Source organism: Homo sapiens, chromosome 4, assembly GCF_000001405.40.
Source record: "Homo sapiens chromosome 4, GRCh38.p14 Primary Assembly".
Lineage (NCBI taxonomy): Eukaryota > Metazoa > Chordata > Mammalia > Primates > Hominidae > Homo > Homo sapiens.
Window position 1 is genome coordinate 105,708,694 of NC_000004.12, and position 19,626 is coordinate 105,728,319.

Consider the following 19,626-nt stretch of genomic DNA (forward strand, 5'->3'; position numbering starts at 1 on the left):
CCCGCACTGGCCGGCTCCGAAAGCAGGAAAACAAAGGTTCCCACAGTAGGGGCGGGGGAAACGTTTGGCAGTGCGACAGTAGGAAGTGACGTTACTTCCCTTTTTCCGGTCCGCCGGATTATGAATGACGGCCGGCGCGAGTATTTTCCACATAAGGTGGCTGTCGTTTTTCTCCTGGCGTCTGTGGAGGCGAGTGGTCTGCGGGCAGCAGCTCCCAGAGGCAGCCTTGGAATTCCAGCTCGGACTGGGCGGGAAGGCGCAGGCGGCCCAGGTCGCCGACACGCTCACGCACCCTCCCTGCCTGGCCGCGCCTCTGCGACCAGGTAAAGAGGGCGCTCGGGCCGCCGGCTTCTCAGCCTCCGCGACCCCCTAAGAACTGGTCTTTTCTTCGGGGGTCTGCAGGGCTGAGGATGCGGGGGAAGGGTGGGAAGGACAAGGGCGTGGTATCATCGTCCTGATTTTTCTCCCGCCCTGGGGCCGCCTCAAACTCCTTTTTGGCCACTCCTGCTGAAGGTGCGGGTTGAGGGCTCTGGGCTTCTCGGTAGTACGCGTTTCCCAGTTTCCCCCTAGCCAGTCCCTCATGTCTTCCTCTGCTGATGGAGAAATGGGGCAGCTTCCAGTTGGAGGCGTTGGTTGGGGTGGTTTGATATTTGCTGTTAAGTGTTACTTCAAGACCTCTTGGGTCACACTAACTTCTCTTCTCTCTTTGGCATTGAGTTTTCCATTCCAGCCCTTCCTGATTGCAGAAAGCAGTTCTATGTGAATACTACTTAACATTTACTCCAAAGGACTTGCTTCATTTGGGGCCATTTGCTTATGTTTTGTCATCACAGCAGTATCTCTTGGGTTTTTAACTTCTATAGAAAGTTTAATTTGCATGAAAGTTGCTTTGGTTTCAAAAACGTTTGCTAATACACGTACTTCCCATCCCAACTTTCTACCTGGTTTTGGGATGAGATGACTTGTTTTTTTCCCCTTTATTCTTAATGCCAGGATCCCATTCCTTGTCATAAATTCTTGAATATCAAGAAAATGCCAGCTTTAGTAATATATTGTGTGCTACATTATTGATAAAGAAGGTGGTGTATTTCTATTTTACCTAAGCTTATCTGTAAAAACAATGTTTACAGGAGAAAATGCAAAAGCTAGCAAGAACTAGTGATGTGATAATTTTAAACATGTAAACATAGTCATTTAAATCCATGATAATAAACTGTTATAACACAACTAAGTGATTCGCTGTCATATTTAATAAACATTAAGCTATGCGGGTTTTTTTTTCTTTTTTTTTAACTGCCTGATGGGGAGCATACACCACTGAGAGGATTGCTTTAAGCACACTCATTACTAAAAATTGTGTTTGTATTACACCTGAAAGTATCGTTTTGTGAGGTCTCACTTCAAAAATAAGACTGAAAAGGTCAATGAGATTTGAGAATCATCATTTCTTTTTATTTTATATACTTTGCACTTCTACGTGTTTTTGCTTTAATTTAAACACAGCTCAAACTTGAGCTTCTGTAGTAGTGGGCCCATCAATTTTTTTTTTTTTTTTTTTTTTTGAGCTGGAGTCCTGCTCTGTCGCCTGGGGATGGATTGCAATGGCAACATCCGCCTCCCGGGCTCAAGCAATTCTCCTGCCTCAGCCTCCCGAGTAGTTGGGATTACAGGCGCCCACAATCACACTCGGCTCCTTTTTTTTTTTTTTTTTTTTCAGTCGAGGAGGGGTTTCACCATGTTGGCCAGGCTGGTCTCAAACTCCTGACCTCAAATGATCCGCCCGCCTCGGCTTCCCAAAGTGGTGGGATTACAGGCGTGAGCCACCGCGCCCGGCCTGTTTTTGTTTTTTTAAACTTGTTTTACTTGTAGCTTTTGTTTCATCATCTGTGATTTTTAAATAAAAATAAATACTGAGTATCCAATTAGCTTTTCTAACAAAGAATAAATACTTGGAATGCAGATATTGAAACCATTTAGATTAAAACAAGCACAGGTATTGTTTGCTGTGAAAATTCAGTAATTTTATTTCATACTTGGTAACATGTTAGCCATTTGCGCTGTCGATCACTGTTAATTATGAGGTCGGGTTTAGCTGAAGGCATTATGACTCCATGGCAACAGATGATTCCCTGATTCTCCAGAGAGATTACACACTTCGTTTGTGGCTAAGGTTACTGTAAGCTTTTCACTTAAAAACTTTTCCTACTTCTTTACCAGATAAGAAAACAGCTAATTTTAATCACTGGCTTTTGTTCTCTAGGACTTAACTGCATCCCATATTACGTATTTAATGAGCTTGAAAAAATCTCAGTGTTTTTCTTATCGTTTTTGACCCTAAATATTTAAGGTAATTGGCTGCTATCTATCTGTTGAGGGGCATGTTTTTTTGTTTTGTTTTGTTTTGGTTAAATCTATATTATTGTAATAAAATAGGGTACAATTTTCAGCCAAATACTGTTGTTTTATGAAAAGCATAAAACACAAGATAAGTTATAAAATTCAAAATGTTGAACATATGATGTAGGAGAGAATTTAGGCAGGTTTAAATTTTAATCTTTAAGAAAAGTAAGTGTTTGTGATTTTTCATACTTATAAACTGTGTTGAACTTCTTATTTTGTACAATAGGTTGATATGCACATGGATTAAGGGTTTCACGTTTATATTTTACCATTTCATGATTCCCTGGCTTTCAGCCTCAGTAACAAATATGTTTTTTTTCAGTATTTGGTTGGGAAAAACTTTTCAATCAATATAAATCCTTTACCTTTCATGGAAAGAAGCTTGAAAATATAAACCATAATTTGGGTTTTGCCCATCAAGGTTTGCATATTTTAATAGTGCCAGTTGATAAGGAATTTGGTTATAAATTATAAAGAAATAATAGTAGCTAGTATTTATTTAAGGACTTAATATGTGACAAGCTTTTTTCTGTATGGCACACTACATGGTAGGTACAGTTATTATTGTCTCCATTTTATTATATAAGTGAGGAAACAGATATGCAGAAAAGTTTTTTATAGCTACTAAGAATCAGAACCAGTATATTTGCACCCAGGTGGTCTGGCTCAACAGTCTCGGCTCTAATCTATTACTTTATAATTCTTGTTTTATAAATATTCTTGCTAGGCACATGTATGGAATCTAGTTAAGATTCTTAGTTCCTTTGCCCTGGATATAAGTATACATAAAAACTTCTGTGCTTGCTTTATTTATGAGTTTGGTTAGATTCCATTTATACTTTTCCCGATTCACCTCACAAAGGTGATCTTATTTCTTCATTTTAATTTATACTTAGTTGGTCCTTAAAATAGAGTTATTAATTTGGAAAAGAAAGAATGGTGTCATGAAGAATGAGATACACATTGTACCAAGACTAAAGTTATTAATAATACTCTCAGACAGTGATTTCTGACATTCATATATGTACATTCATTCCTTGAACTAAAGTTTCAGTTCATTAAGCACTGGAGATGTTATAGTGTTAGGTGATAAGAGCTATGAAGAAAAAGGGAAGCTAGGTAAGAGGCTAGGGTGTGCTTTTTCAATTCAGGCAGTCAGGAGAGGCTGTTCTGAGTTAATATTTATGCAGAAAAATCAATGAAATGAGGGAGCAAGCCCTGTGAATCTCTTGGAGAAAAGCATTCTAGGCAAAGCAATAGCAAGTACAAATATTCTCAAGTGGCACCTTCCAAAAACAGCAAGGACAGCTATGGCTGGAAGGGAGTGAAGAAGGATAAGAGATGAGGTCAGAAAGGGATAGCTAGGGTCACAGTAGGCCTATAGGCCATAATAGGAAATTTGGATTTTATTTTGAGTGTGCTGAAGAGCCATTGGATGGTTTTGAGCACGAGACATCTGATTTATGTTTTTAAGGATCACCCTGTTGTTGGAGAATGGACTGTTTTATGGAAAGTGGAGGAAAATAGTTAATAGGCTTTTGCAGTAGTCCTTGTAAGCACTGGCGATGACTTAGATTAAGGTGGTAGTGGTAGAGGTGCTGAGGAGTTGGATTTAGCATATACTTCAAAGGTAGAGATGGCAGGGTATGAGAGAGAGAAAAAAAGAAGTTGAGTGGGACTTTTGAGTTTTTGGCCTAAGCATCTGGGTAATTGGTGTTGCCATTTTACCAGGAAGTAGAACACGAAGGGAAGGGGAGCAGGTTTAGAAAAACATCCACATGGAGATGTCAAGTAGAATATAGTAGTCTGGAGTTAGAGGAGAAGATACGGCTGGGATATACATGTAAGAGTCAGATCATATTTAAAGCTATGGCACTGGAGATCACCCAGAACAGTGCTGTCATATTGTGAGTTGTGCCCCATTAATGAGTCAGGAAATCAATGTAATGAGTAACAACCAGCATTTAAAAAAACAAGCACAGAGTAAAAAATATCAGATTTATCCCATATTGTAGGATAAGTATTGCTTCATGACATTTTTGTTTCTATTTTATTCAGTGTATTGTGTGTTACATTATAAAATATATACCTAATTGTGTGGCATGCTCAAAAGTTTGAAAGCCAGTATTCGAAGGATGGAGTGTGGATTGAGCAGAGAGCAAAACACTGAGCTGTGGGTCACTGAGACATCTGCAGAGTAGCCAATGAAAGGAATCAGGAAAGAATTGCCAAAGAATTTAATCCAGTGCAGAAACTTGTCAAATAACCCAGCCTTTGGAATGGAAGTTTATATCAAGGATTACTGAAACCAGCATACTTGCTTAGAATAACATAATATCTGACAATTTTCACTTTGGTAAAATTGCTTCAATTTATGAAATTTTATTTATAAATAGTACTGTTATATTAGAACAATACCTATTCTTAAATGTCTCTAAATAAGATCTTTTATGAATTTAATTAATACTTTTGGACTGATGTACAATTCTCATCTCTATAATGGAAATAAAATACTTTTAAGGATTGTGAGCATTAGAAGTAATGCACATGTTCTGTGTGCTTAGCACATAGTAGGTGGACAATAAAATGTATGTAATATTTAAAACTTTATTTACCTAACATTTGTTGAGCTCCTATCAAATTGTAGTCACAAAGATAACTTATTTGAAAAAACAAAAAACAAAACACAGGTTAATCATTTGCAGCAGTTATGCACTTTTTGGTCTTCATTATATAATATATAATTTATCTAATATATAATGTTATGTATACATAATGCCATAGATCTTGACTTGAATTTTGATCACAAAATTTTCAAGCTTTATTTTTTCTGGACTGTGGAGAAGTATGCTTGTTTTTAATATGTTTACTGTTTATCTCTCATTCTCTGTGTTTTATCAAGGCTAAGATATATTCATTAGAATGAAAGTGAAAAAAAAAAACCAGATCTGAATGCCTAAATATTAAACCTATGACTAATTCCACCATTTAAAAATATATTAGAACATTCCTGAGTAATGAAATCAAAGACATAATCTTTTCTTTTTACCCATTTATTCATTCGGCAAGATTCCCAAGCAAATTGGCACGTCCAGGAAAGAGATGCACACTCTATTTAATATCCTGAAGTTTGTGGTTTTGTCTGCTACTTTCTCACTCCCTCTCTGCAGAGTGGCACCTGTCAAAGCTGAGAAAGAGTAAATTACTCTATTTCTGTGCTTGGCAGGAATGTAATATGGAGTAACAAGAGCTGTGCCGCAGAAGCCCTGGAGACAGAAGTTGATTCTATAGTACCTACCTTCTTAAAGCTCGTGACAGAAAATTAGCGAACTAAGGCATTCTGAAGCTAGAAAAGAAAAAAGAGGAAGGATTTTTTTTTTTTTGCCTGTGATATTTGCATACTTGGAGCAAATACTGGTTCTACTCTCTAAAAAGGCACAGTGCAAGCCAAAAACATCACATTTGTACAGGTTTACAAATATTTAATATTTATTTTAAAAATTATATTAGTACATAATAGGGAGACATTATTCAAGGAGAGTAATTTTTTTTTTTATTCTAAGATCATTAAGTAACATTTTTAATCTCCCAGGGGGAAAACCAACATCTATATTAAAAAAAATACGTTAAGAATCAACAGTACTTTGTTGCATTTTCTCTCAGGCATCTCATTAATTTTTAGATATCACCATGGGCAGGTTATTGCTATTCTGTTTTGCTGACATTTAGCATTTTATTAAGTGCTAACAGTGAGAAGAGTTTATAGAATATGTCTAAAATCCTATTTTCATATTCTTATGTGCCTTACAACGTGGCAAATATAGGCATACTTTTTAAAAGAATATTTCTACATATCTTAAAAGCTATTAAATAGCATGGCTTTGTTTCCAGTTTTTTAAAAAGTGTTAGGATGAGCCTCGTAATTACTATTTTTTAGACTGTTGGGCAAATGATGAAATCAGTCATGTTTTCTTTCAAAACTGCTTTCTTGAAACACTTAGGGGTGAGTCTTCTTTTTACTCTCCTACTGTCAGGAGAGTGAGTCCAGAGCAAACTCCTCAAAAAGACTGTTAATTCCTGGAAAGTGTGGTTGGTCCTTTTTGCCCTAGTGTTGTTACAGATCTCACTTTGTTTGACTGTTTTTAAGGACTTATAGCATAAAGGTGTTATATTAATAATGAAAATATTTCCAGAGCTCTATTCAGCTTTATAAAAAAACTCTTTGAACTTTGATCTTTAATAAATACCTTTTTGTTTTAAAATTATCTCTCAGTGACAAAAATTTTTAAAAAATAAGCTCAGGGAGAAAATGGCATCTGTAAGTTAAAAAGTTGTTGCTTTTACAGTATATAAAATAATTTTCCCCCAGATAATCTTTTAAGAAGTAACAAATCATGGTATATATCTGTTATATTTTAATAGAAGAAATATAAAATAAAGCAGTAGTGATTATTTGTATTATTAAGAAACTTAGATAATACTTTACTGACTATATTTATTTTTTATAATGGATTACAAGTTCCTTAGTTTTAAAAAATGAAGAACTAAGAAGCTTAAAGTGTTTAGGTCTTGTTTCAGATTTTTTTAAAAAAGGGATTTAAAATATTAAAGAAAATTTAGTATGATGAAGGTTTTCTAAAATTAAGTGTACACTAACATTTTGAATACACTTAAAAGACAAGAGGTGCATGTGTACTTTTTAACAGCTTTTAAAGTAATTTTCCTTCTAATATGTCATGTTTCTGGTACGTATTTCCATGGTGAATACTTTTAAAGAGTGCCATCTAGTGTCAGTTTTGGAATTGTAATTTATGTATTAGAACATTAGGAATTTTTGACCCGGGAAATGTATAAACATAAAAAGACAGGACAATTGATAAAAACCTTAAGGAATATGACTTGAAAATAGCCATGAAGAATCTGACCTCAAGACTGTGTGTGTTTGCACCTTTAACCAGTATGTATATTTATCTCTGCTTTCATTTGTCAAATACTGCTTGCTTATATATATAATAAACCTATAAAGCAGTGAACAAAAAATTTTTACTCATGGAACATTCTAGTTAGAGGAGACAAATAATAACATATAGTATATCACCATAGCAATAAGCGCTAGGAAGAAAAAACATAGATGGAAATAGAAAGGTTTTTTTCAGGGAGCGTGGGGATTGGGGTTTGTGATTTAAATTGAGTAGTCAGGGAGGATCTCAGTAAGAAGTTGCCATTGAATAAATAAATACCTGAAGGAAGTGAGGAAGTGTTCTAGGTACTGGAAACACCAAATGCAAAGGCCCTGATGTGAGAATGTACCTAGTGTTTTAGCAAGGGTCCCCAACCCCTGGGCCCAGGACTAGTATCCATCTGTGGCCTGTTAGGAACCCCACCTCAAAGTGGGAGGTGAGTGGCAGGTGAGCCAGCATTACTGCCTGAATGGCGCCTCCTGTCAGATCAGCAGCGGCATCAGATTCTCATAGGAGCTCCAACCCTCTTAACTGCACGCAGGAGGGATCTAGGTTGCACTCTCCTTATGAGAATCTAATGCCTGATGATCTGAGGTGAAACAGTTTCATCTGGAAACCATCCCCATCCCCCCACCAACCTCCCATGGAAAAACTGTCTTTCATGAAACTGGTCCGTGGTGCCAAGAATGTTGGAGATGGCTGTTTTAGAGGAATAACAATCTACTTTGGCTGGAGCAGTGAGCAATGAAGAAAGTTAATGAGACAAACTCTGAGACATAAAGGAGGATTAGATCAAGGAGATTTTTGTAGGCTGTTGCAGAAACTTTGGCTTTTCTCTAAGGAGGGTGGGAAGACCTTGGAGGGTTTGGTTATGGGGGTGTGAAGGAAAAGAATGGTGTAACCTGAGATGGGAAGACACATAAGGAGCAGGTTTGAGGGGTGGGAGAGAATAAGGAACTGGATTTTGGACAGGTTAACTTTAAGATAGCTATCAGTATCCATGTTATGGGGAAATTTAAATATTTTTATATTATGATTCAGCACTCAGCAGCTATCACTTACTTGAGGAGAATCCACTTCTCCTGAAAGAACGAATATCCCCTCCCTATTATTTTGTAGGGTCGTAAAAAAGAAGCAGTATGGAAGGACCAGCACTGTCAAAACTTCTCAAGGATATTATCCCCAGACAGCTCTCAGTATTTTTGGTTAATTTATTTCCCCTTCTATTTATCTCCTGTTCTCACATATAGTGAGACCCCAAAATACTTGATTGGGAGGGCTCTATTGCAAAGCACTGGGGTTTGCTCATTTTAAAGGAGCTGGGTGTAATATTTCCTCTAATGCTAGTTAATTGCACAGGGTGGAATTTTTTTCTTTTGGAAGTCATTTAGTCAGTCTTCAGAAACAAACCTTATAGCATTATTATCTACTGCAAATTTTTACTGATTTCTAGAACAGGCTTTTGAAACATTCATCTTTTATTTTAGCTTCTAAATGATTATATTCTAAGACCATAATCACTTCAATTTATACTTTAGGTGACCCAATGAAAGAAGAAAATGAAAGCCATAAAGAAAAGTCTTACAGAAGAAGAATACCTGTACCTGGACTTTTCTCACCAAACAGAAGGATGCATCTTTCCTCTTCATACATCTGTAACTTTATTTCTGTTATCTTACTGTGACTGTAAAATCTTTAAAATTTGCTTAGTTGTCACCAAAGAGGTGAGTAGAGATAGTTCACTACTAAGAGATGACCTGATCCAGGATGTTGAAATACAGATTATTTCAAGGCAGGAGCTCCCACCAATAGTCCAAAATTGCTGTTTGCCTGCAGTAGTAGAACGATCAGACAATTTTTGTAGAGCAGGACTTGCTGTTGTATTGAGACACATAATCCAGAAATCCTATGAAGCAGACCCCTTAAAGAAGGAACTTTTGGAACTTCTGGGCTTTAAAAAGACTTGCTTGAAAGCCTGTGCTGAAGTAAGTATAATGTCTTTTTTCTGTTATTTGAAGCTACACAGTGATAACATAATTACCTGACCATTTAATATTTTAACTTCCTATTAGGAATAAAAGTTTATTTATTTTAAAAAACCCCAGTAACCAATGAAATAAAGTAGCCCTTTGATATAGTTTGAATATTTATCCCCTCCAAATTTCATGTTGAAATGTGATCCCCAATGTTGTTGGAGGTGGGACCTGGTAGGAGGTGTTTGGGTCGTGGGGGCAGATGCCTCGTAAATGGCTTGGTGCTCTCACTGGGGTAATGAGTGAGTTCTTGCTCTATTAGTTCATGAGAGATCTAGCTGTTGAAAAGCGCCTGGTACCTCTTCCTTGCTCTCTCTTGCACCCTCTCTCCCCATGTGACATGCCTGCACTCCCTTTGCCTTCTACCATGACTAAAAGCTTCCTGAGGTCCTGATCAGAAGCAGATGCTTCTTATATAGCCTGCAGAACCATGAGCCAAATAAACCTCTTTCCTTTATAAATTACTCAGCCTCACCTATTCCTTTACAGCAATGCAAATGGGCTAATATACCCTTTACGTGTGTCAATATTTCAGTGCAGTATTGAAAAATAAGAATTTAAGTCTTAATTTATAAAGTTTGGAGACATTTTTAGAAAATAACTCTTTTTTCTTTATTTTAGTTATGTTGATTTTTAAATGGAATGTTTACATATAAATAGGAGCTCAAATAGCAATGCTTTGGAAGCCCTGCTTATTGTGGGGGCTAGGAGGAGGGTAGGACAGGGGAGGTATATTGTAAAGGCTTTGGGAAGTAATGATTTATTTAGTAAGGGGAATACAGGAATGCTAAACTTCTTTTGCTTAATGTTTTTACTTCTGAAGCACTGTGATGTGTCTCCTGATACAACATAAAAGCCTAGCCCAGGGATGATTGAGCTCAAAACTTATTTCCCAATAAGACAGTTATTTTTTCTAAAGTTATATTGAAATTAAAAAATCTTTTCATTTCTTGTTTTGTTTTTGTTTTGTAGGTTAGTCAGTGGACCAGGCTATGTGAACTCACCATCCCTTTGGCTATTGAGAATTTTCTCAGAGAATCTTCTGACCAGCCCCCAACTATACCTGTAGAAATACTACAGCTAGAGAAAAAGCTTAGTGAGCCTGTTAGAGTGCATAATGATGATAAACTCCGCAGGCAGAAGCTCAAGCAACAGAAGGCTGATGGAGTTGGGCCTCCCCTTACTAAGGGAAAGGCAAAGAGCAAGGTCCACACACAGGAAACATCTGAAGGGTTGGATTCTTCATCCAAGAGTCTGGAACTGAAAGTGGCATTCTCAAAGCTCACAGTACAGGAAGAACCAGCTACTACCAACAGAGAGCCTTCTCACATCAGAAAAGCAAAAGCCTCCGACCTTCCACCTCTGGAGCATGTGTTTGCAGAAGGGCTTTACTTCACTCTGGCAGATATTGTGCTCTTGCCCTGTATCCATCATTTCTTGGTAAGGTTTCATCTGGACTGTACACATTACTATGAGTTTCAGTCTATGAAATTGCCTAGGTTTGAATTTCTGTTTTACTTTTTATTGTCAATATGCTGCTAGGAAAGTTATTAATATCTTTCTCCATTTTCTTATCTGTAAAATGGTGATAATAATAGTACCTATCTAAAAGGAAAAATGTAAGGAACAAATTAAAGTTTGTGTGAAGTATGGAGAACAGTGCTTGGCACATAGTAAGCTCTCAATCAAAGTTAGTAATTACTATGACTTTTAATGTGAAGTTGCTAAAATGTTAACAATTGTTATTATTAATTTCAAGTTTCTGTTGTGATTACTTTCTAATAGTAGAAGGTCCAAGTCGGCTCTGTGGTGCAATGGATACTCCGTTGGACGTCTACTATTAGAGGGTGCAGTTAAAAAAAAAAAAACTAAAAATCTTGTCAGCTAAATTTTATAATGAATTGTTAGTCACTTAAATTAATCTTATGTTAGGTATTATCAAACTGAAAATATTTTATTCTGACCTGTGTGCTTTTCTCTGTTCTCTCTGAGAGTAAAGTAGCTGGCTCTGTTATTATGTGCTGGGGGAGAATAGATAGAACGTTTTCTGAGTAGGAAGATCTCTCTCTCTCTCTCTCTGTCTGTCTTACATACACACACTCACACACGCACACACGTGTGCACACACACATTCCCTCTGTGGAGGAAAAAAGAACAGGGTGAAAATAATACCAGAGTGAACATAGGAAGCTTAGCTCTCTGCAGCCTTCCAATTGGTTTTCAAGAGCTGCATTGCTTTTTGCTTTTGTTTGGGTTTTTTTCTTGGAAGCATTTCCCCCTTTTCCCTACTAAGGAATCAGATATTAGATTTCATTCTCATTATATATCACCAACAATTCAGGTATCTCTATGGACAGAAGAGACTGCTATCGAAAATCTATGTATTTGAAGGCTTTGCTTCACAAGTAAACTCGGCAGTATTCATCAATTGTCATTTTCTTAAAGAACATTTCTCTTTTCCTCAAAATTGAACCAAATTTGGCAACCAAAACAATATAAAAAGAGAGAGATCCAGGAATTGTTTAGATGTTGATTGCTATTTTAAATGCCAGATGTCATATGTCTTCACAGAGTCCATGGAGTTGAGTGGGAAGAAGACATTGATTTTTAAATTTTTTCCTAGTCAGATGATTCCTAGGTTCTCTTCTCCATGATCCCTCTCTTCTATTACCAAGTTCCGTCATTAGAGCAGTCATTTGATACATTATGAAGTACTTGGTCTTCTGTCTTCTTGACTTCTTTGGATAACTGTGTTTCCAGTTTCACCAGAATTGAATGAAAGTGGCATATCCATTCCTTTATTGAAGAAATTTATTAAAATTATTTGAATACATAAACTAATTCTCAAAATATTTTCCTTCGTTCCTTTGTATTTTTACTGGATTTTTTTTTCTTTTTTTTTTGAGATGGAGTCTCGCTCTGTCACCTAGGCTGTGTGCAGTGGTGTAATCGCAGCTCACTGCAACCTCCGCTTCCTGGGTTGAAGCAATTCTCCTGCCTCAGCCTCCCAAGTAGCTGGGATTATAGGTGCACGCCACCATGCCTGGCTAATTTTTGTATTTTTTAAGTAGAGATGGGGTTTCACCATGTTGGCCAGGCTGCTTTCGAACTCCTGACCTTGTGATCCGCCCACCTCATGTTTTCCAGAATTCATCCTTCTTTGATAAACCCTTGATATTTGTTATATTTTTCTCTTTAAATCATCTTGGGTAATAAAGTAGTCATTTTAATTCATATAGTGGTTATGTTGGCAAGCCTTTTTGCTTGCATTAACATACATTGAGGTGAATGGAGTGGCCATCCAAATGATCAGAATCAGGATCAAGTTCAACATCCGTAATCAAGGTCAAGTTACCAGAAACATAAAACTGAATCTAGGGACAGAATATTTAGTCGCAGGAATAAAGTCAAGGACATAAAAGTAAGAGTCAATTTTGCTAAATCAAGGTTTGAATTACTAAGGGTCAAAATTAGAAGAACTAGGGAAAATACCCAGTTCTGCTAAACAGAATAAAACCAAAGATGGAAAACAATAACAAGTAGAATCGATGAGGTGTTTTTTTTGTTTTTTTTTAATTTGTCAGAGACAAACATGGAAATGCTAAGGTATTATATATAAACCTGCTGCAAGCTCTTCCTTTTCAGAAAATACTTTATTACTTTACAAAGTTAACCCCTGATGGCTCAGCACCTCATAAGGAAAGGGGCCTGACGATACCCTCTCCTCTGAAAAGTCTTAGAAATAGATTTAAAAGGAATAAATTAATATGTACACTCATGTTTCCCCCCATTCAATTTATTTGCTAGAATTTTCTAGTAGATAGCGTATCAACATTATGGGAGAAATAGCAATGAATAGCTATACTAGGGCAAAATCCTACTGTTCCAATACTAGAAGATTGTATATTATTTTTCAGTTGCTACTAGTAAGCAAGTACACTTTGACAGAAATATTTAAAACATTATTGTACGCCTATAAGACAGAAAGTTGCATTTTATCATTTTATAAAATCTTGTAATTTGACCACTTATGATTTAATTTTCTACATTTTAACTTCTAATGCTTTGAATTGAGTTTAAATACACACATACACACACACACACAGACATCTTTATTAGCTTAGGTAAAATCATTCCTCTTTTAGAAATTGATTTTTTAGCAAAACTAAATACCTCTTCCTGTGTTCCCATCGGCATAAAGTTGGGAACCTCACTTTTTGCTGGCATATTGCAAAAATGGTTGATGCCACTTATTTAGTGGTAAATTTGTATTTTCTGTGTCTATTCCTATTCATTAGGTCCTCAAGAGCTTTTAGCTTTAACTCACTAGTTCTAATTTATAAGTAAAAAACAGAGAGCTGGGATTATATTTTCATTTAGATAGGTTGTTTACTGTTTTTTCTCTGCTTACACTGCTCACCTAAACATCTGTGAGTATATTTTCAAAAAAGGAAGTATGACTAAGGAAATGATATAAAATAAGAACAAATATTTTATATAGTAAGTGATTGTAAAGGAATGCAAAGGAGGAGATATTTTGAATAGATGCAACATCTTGCTTCTCTTTTTATTCTGACAAATTTTTCTGCCCTTTATTGACAATTAACTACAGAGTTACTAAAATTTTATTTTTGCTTTGATAGCTATGCTTTTTTTTTAAACCTTTGTTTTAAAAATAGATCATCTTTTTTTTTTCTTGTCCTTAAAGAACTCTGTGATATTTATAATGGTTTTGATCTTATGAGCCAGGTAACTATTTGGTAATCATTCCTTATGAAGAAATTTAATTTTCATTTCACAGAGTTTTCATTAGCAACTTCCTTAAATATATCTTCATGAGTGTAATGAATGTGGTTCAGTACCTTCTGAGCTATCTGGATATTAGTAGAGTGGCCTGGCATGTTGATAAATGGAGTGACCTGTCAGAGTAAACCTCCTCAATTTCTTGTAAACATGAATTATTGTTATTTAATTGCAACTTCATTTCAAAAGAAAGGAAAGATGCCACGTACATCTAACAAATAAAAATAAGTCACTAGAACGAAGAGTACAGGAAAGATGAGGAAAAGAGAAAATTTCTTGTGTGATTATCATGTCTAAAGATCCATTCCCTTAGCACCTAATCTATTTCCAAGCAATTCACAATTCTTGAGAGAATTAATAAACTTTTTGGCTCTCAGGGTACCTTAGAGAGTATTTTTCAAACTTTTTTTTTACTTTAACTCAGTAAATACAGATGGCCTTCCATATCCATTGGTTCTGTATTCATGTATTCAACCAACCGCAGATTTAAAATATTTGGAAAAAAAATTGCATCTGTACTGAACATGTACTGACTTTTTTCTTGTCGTGATCCCCTAAACAATACAGAATAACAATTATTTGCACAGTGTTTATATTGTATTAGGTATTAGAAGTAATCTAGGATTTAAAGTATAGGAGAGGATGTGTATAGGTTATATGCAAATACTATACCATTTTATATCAAGGACATGAGTATGAGTATCTGTGGATTTGGGTTTCTGATACAGGTCTTGGAACCAATCCTCCATGGATACTGAGGGACAACTGTAATACATTTTACAAGTTGGATAATTATAGAAATAAATGTATATCTTTAAATAATATGTAAAAAAATATATAAATAATTACAAAATAACTTATAGGATGTGTACTCTGATATTTTCTATTTCATTTTTTAAAAACCTACTATGTTGATTTCACAACCCCTAAATGAGTGATAAATAGCAACTTGAAAAATACTGACTGAGGGGATTACTCTCTGAAGGTAACAAATGGATTCTTTATCATTTGTTCATTCACTCAACAGGGTATTATTTGCAAGGCAGTGTTTTAAGTGCTTCAGTATTCAAAGAGAGTTACAGTCCTTGTTCTTATAATCAATTACTTGTGCTCATTTAATCTTAAAGTCCACTTAAAATACAGTATAATATATATGTATGAATTTTTTATTTTCTGTCCTTTCTGTCTCATGCTCTGATATTATTGTGAAATATATCTGTAGAGATTTCCTGTGACTTGACCTTTTTATTTAAAGGTCATAATCTGTTCATAATCTGTTCATAATCATAAGTCATAATGTGTTTGAGACATCATAATGGTTTCTACGGAAACATTTGTTGCCTCTCAAAGAAGCAAGAACACTCTAAATTTTCAAGAAAATAGAATTTGGTGGTAGTGCTAGGGAGAAAGCATCTGACCAAGAGAAAACAAAAATATATGAGTTTGTATCAGGAAGAACAATTTAAAATTTTTCTAATTTGAAAAAATAAAAGTCTTACTTTAAGTGCTGCTTTATAAAAAAAAAATTCTATAGTGCTAGTTATCTTTTTTAGTTTTAAATATTTACAATTTTCTCTTTTATCTTTTTACTATTTTCTTTAGTAAAATGTTCTCCTTACCTCATTGTGTAATTTTTAAAAATATGGTTCTGAAAGATGCTTCTTACATTATTGGTAAGGAATATCATTTAGATTATGCCTAATAGTTCACACATACAGAGAAGGTAGTTTCACAAACACAAAAAAATGGAACTTTAGATCATTATTAATAGTACAAGCTCTCCATTTTTACACTTCTGCAGTGAGCTACAAAATTTCTATGAGACCCCTCAAAATACATCAATGATTGCAGACTACAGATATTAAATTGTGATAATTTAAACGTGTTACATTATTTGTGTTGAGGAATTTAATACTTATTTTAATTCTTTCCCCATTAAACAGTTAAACTAATTTGCATAAGTATATATTAAGGATTTTAGGTTTTTGATATAATGTTGTCCAATTAACTCTCTATATGCAGTGTGTTAAGAACTTATCAAGTATATAGAGGGTCAGGAACAGAGGAATGTGTTCATGGCCATGAATTATAGATGAAAGGGTTTCCAGATTGGAATGCAGTTGATTATAGAGGAGTTCTTAGAGAGGGGTAAAAACATACTACCAATGAAAGATGTAGACAATTGAATATAAGATGTAAAGTTTTCCAAAATGATTTTCAGTTGTACTGTTTATAGACATTTGCAAATGCCATTGTTATTTATATTGATTCTTTTTGGAATTATTGTATTCTTCTTTTTCTATTGATGGTTGTTTTCCATTGTATAGCTGTACCACAGTTTATCCATTCATCTACTGAAGGGCATCTTGGTTAATTCCAAGTTTTGGCAATTATGAATAAAGATGCTATTAACATCTATCTGTGTTCAGGTTTTTGTGTGGACATAAATGTTCAACTCATTTGAAGCACAATTACTGGATTGTATGGTAAGAGTATATTTACCTTTGTAAGGAACTACCAAACTGTCTTTCAAAGTGGCTGTACTATTTTTCATTCCCACCAGCAGTAAATGAGAGTTCCTGTTGTTCCACATGCGCACCATCATTTGGAGTTGTCAGTGTTTTGGGTTTTTGCCATTCTGATAGGTGGCATTTCCTTGTTTTAACTTGTAATTCTCTAATGATATATGATGCTGAGCATTTTTTTTATATACTTAGTTGCCATCTGTGTATCTTTTTTGGTTGTCTACTCAGATCTTTTGCTCATTTTAATTGTGTTGTTCATTTTCTCGTTGCTGAGTTGCTCCAATTTTTATGCTATGAAATGAATCATAAAAACGTATAAGACACATCACTAAAGAAGATACACAAATGGCAAATAATCACATGAAAAGTTGCTCAACATCATTAATCATAGGGAAATGCAAATTAAAATTACAATGAGACACTACTATATACCCACAAGAATGACTAAAATCAAACAGACTGATAATACCAAGGTTTGACAAGTTGTGAGGAGATACTGGAACCTCCATGGATTGCTAGTGGGAATTGTAAAATGGAAGGGCAACCATGGAGAAGATTTTAATTTCTTTAAAAGTTAAATATACAGTTACCATAAAACCTAGCAATTTGACTCTTGGATTTTCAAAGAAATGAAACACAGTGCCACATAAACACTGCTACATTATAATGTATAGCAACATTATTTATAATAACCAACAACTGGAAACATGCAAATATCTATCAACCAGTGAATGAGTAAGCAAAATATAGTATATCCACACAATGACTACTAGTCATAATAAAAAGAAACAAACGATTGGTCAATGTAACTATATGGATTAACTTCAAAAGCATAATACTAAGTGATAGAAGAAAACCACATTTTATGATTCCATTTGTATGAAATTCTAGAAAAGGCAAAATTGTAAACACAGAAAGCCGATCAGTGGTTGTCTGCAACTGACTGTGGTAGCAGAGATTGAGTGTAAATGGTTACAAGGGAAATTTCGGGGGTGACGTAAGTGTTCTAAAACTAGATGGTTGATAACTGGATACATTTACTACAACTCATTGTTTGAACTATACACTTAAATGTGTGAATGTTGTGGTTTGTAAAGTTACCTCAACACAGCTATTATAAACAAAATATATATAATAATGTGTTTTATTATTTTCCTACCTAGGTAATTATCAGCAGGAAATTTTCTGAGAAGCTGGTAGAATTTCCATTGCTAGCCTCTTGGTACCAGAGGATTCAGGAAGTGCCAGGAGTAAAAACAGCAGCTTCTAAGTGTGGGATCCAATTTCTCCATTTACCAAAGTTGTTGACAACCTCAACTGAACAGCATCCAAACTTATGTGAAGTCCCAGGTGTAGAAGAGCAAAGCGATCCTTTATTTATAGGAGGACCAAGACCAACCATGGCCAAGTTAATGGTACTTAATTATTAACATTTTCTTTGAAAAATTCTATGTGATAATATTGCTGAGCATTCTACTCCAACTTGTAATCATTTGTTGACATTATTTTTGTTATAAATTTTATTTGTAGCTTTCTTCACTCTTTACCAGTTAATATTTCTGCTACTCTTTTCATTTATGTGAAGTATACTAAATTGAAAACTTTTAGTATTATGTATTTTTGGAGCCAAGTAAGTCACAATATATACTTTTAAAAAGCCCTTTTCTCAAAACTTTTTTTTTTTTTTTTGTATATTCAGGATATTGACCAAGGTAGCATCATACCTGGTCAAGTATACTATTTTAACATAATCTTTTTCTGTTGTAAAGTTTTGGTCTCAGCCTTTTTTAGTTTGGATAATGATTGCAAGTTAAATATAAAGATAAGGCTGGGTGTAGTAGCTTACACCTGTGATCCCAGCACTTTGAGAGACTGAGGCAGGTGGATCACTTGAGGTCAGGAGTTCGAGACCAGTCTGGGCAACATGGCAAAACCCCATCTCTACTAAAATTACAAAAATTAGCTGGGTGTGGTGGCACGTGCCTGTGGTCCCAGCTATTCAGGAGGCTAAGGCACCAGAATAGCTTGAACTTCGGAGGGCGGAGGTTTCAGTGGGCCGAGATTGTACCGCTGTACTCCAGCTTGGGCAACAAAGTGAGACTCTGTCTCGGAAAAAAAAAAAAAAGAAATATAAAGATTAATATCTCAATTTACATTCCAAGGTTTTGTTTAAATTTGTAATTTTGGAATTCTTTGAATTTTATTTTTACTTTAATCTTTGATTTTAATGTTTTTGTTACATAAAAGCCTGGGTGACAGAGTGAAACCCTGTTTCAAAAAAAAAAAAGAATGCATATGCTTTATTTTTTTTCTCCTTGGGGCATAGTTTGTTTTCAGTAGTACTAATTGCAAAGTTTTCAACAATGGGCTTTCCTTTCCCTAACATTTGAAATGATCTGCAAAAATATTTTGCTTTTAATAGGTGATGTGAGGATTTATTTGAATAGAGAATTCATGAAGTAAGTTATCCATCGAGTTACACTGGAAAAATATTCATTATATTTCCCTATTTGGGTTAGGAAGTATTTGAGTTCGGTAGCTAACAGAGTTTACTGATTTAGAAATGGACAGGAAGACTTTGGTAAGGATACCAATCCCTTAACTCTTCAGCTAAGCTCTGTGGCCTATTGATTAAGCAATGAAACATGATTATATAGTTGATTTTAGAAGTTATTGAGGCATGTCTAGATTTTGATGTGTCTTGATTATATTACTACACTGCCAAGGGACCTCTGGTTCACCTCTCGAGTGAATATGCAACTACTTTTGGAAATGATGAAAATATCTTAAAATAGATAGTGGCAATGATTGAACAATTGTGAATATTATAAAAACCACTGAATTGGATACTTTAAAAGGATAAATTATATGGTATTAATATATATATTTTATCTCAATATAGTT

The 19,626-nt window shown here is 35.0% G+C and overlaps 1 protein-coding gene across 8 annotated transcripts in view, besides 1 other annotated feature; it reads left to right on the top strand.

The window, feature by feature from the left end:
• Positions 71–320: an enhancer, noted in NCBI's record as "active region_21784". NCBI's record gives its function as "activates an Ori minimal core promoter by ATAC-STARR-seq in GM12878 lymphoblastoid cells {active_cell/tissue: GM12878}" and the evidence as "EXISTENCE:reporter gene assay evidence [ECO:0000049][PMID:35858748]".
• GSTCD (glutathione S-transferase C-terminal domain containing) overlaps positions 91–19,626 on the top strand; it is a 138,942-nt gene continuing 119,406 nt past the window's right edge. For 2 of the 8 annotated variants that reach the window (XR_938771.2, NM_001370181.1), the window contains exons 1-4: positions 91–323; positions 8,900–9,346; positions 10,367–10,834; positions 17,886–18,137. Coding sequence is in view for 7 of the 8 variants with exons in the window: in NM_001370181.1 (NP_001357110.1) it covers positions 8,921–9,346; positions 10,367–10,834; positions 17,886–18,137 (1,146 nt within the window). In the remaining variant the exon portion in view is untranslated. Of the gene's footprint in view, positions 514–2,119; positions 2,348–8,899; positions 9,347–10,366; positions 10,835–17,885; positions 18,138–19,626 lie in introns of those variants that run through there. The other 6 variants (XM_011532252.4, XM_047416179.1, NM_024751.3 and 3 more) reach the window with 6 other exon arrangements.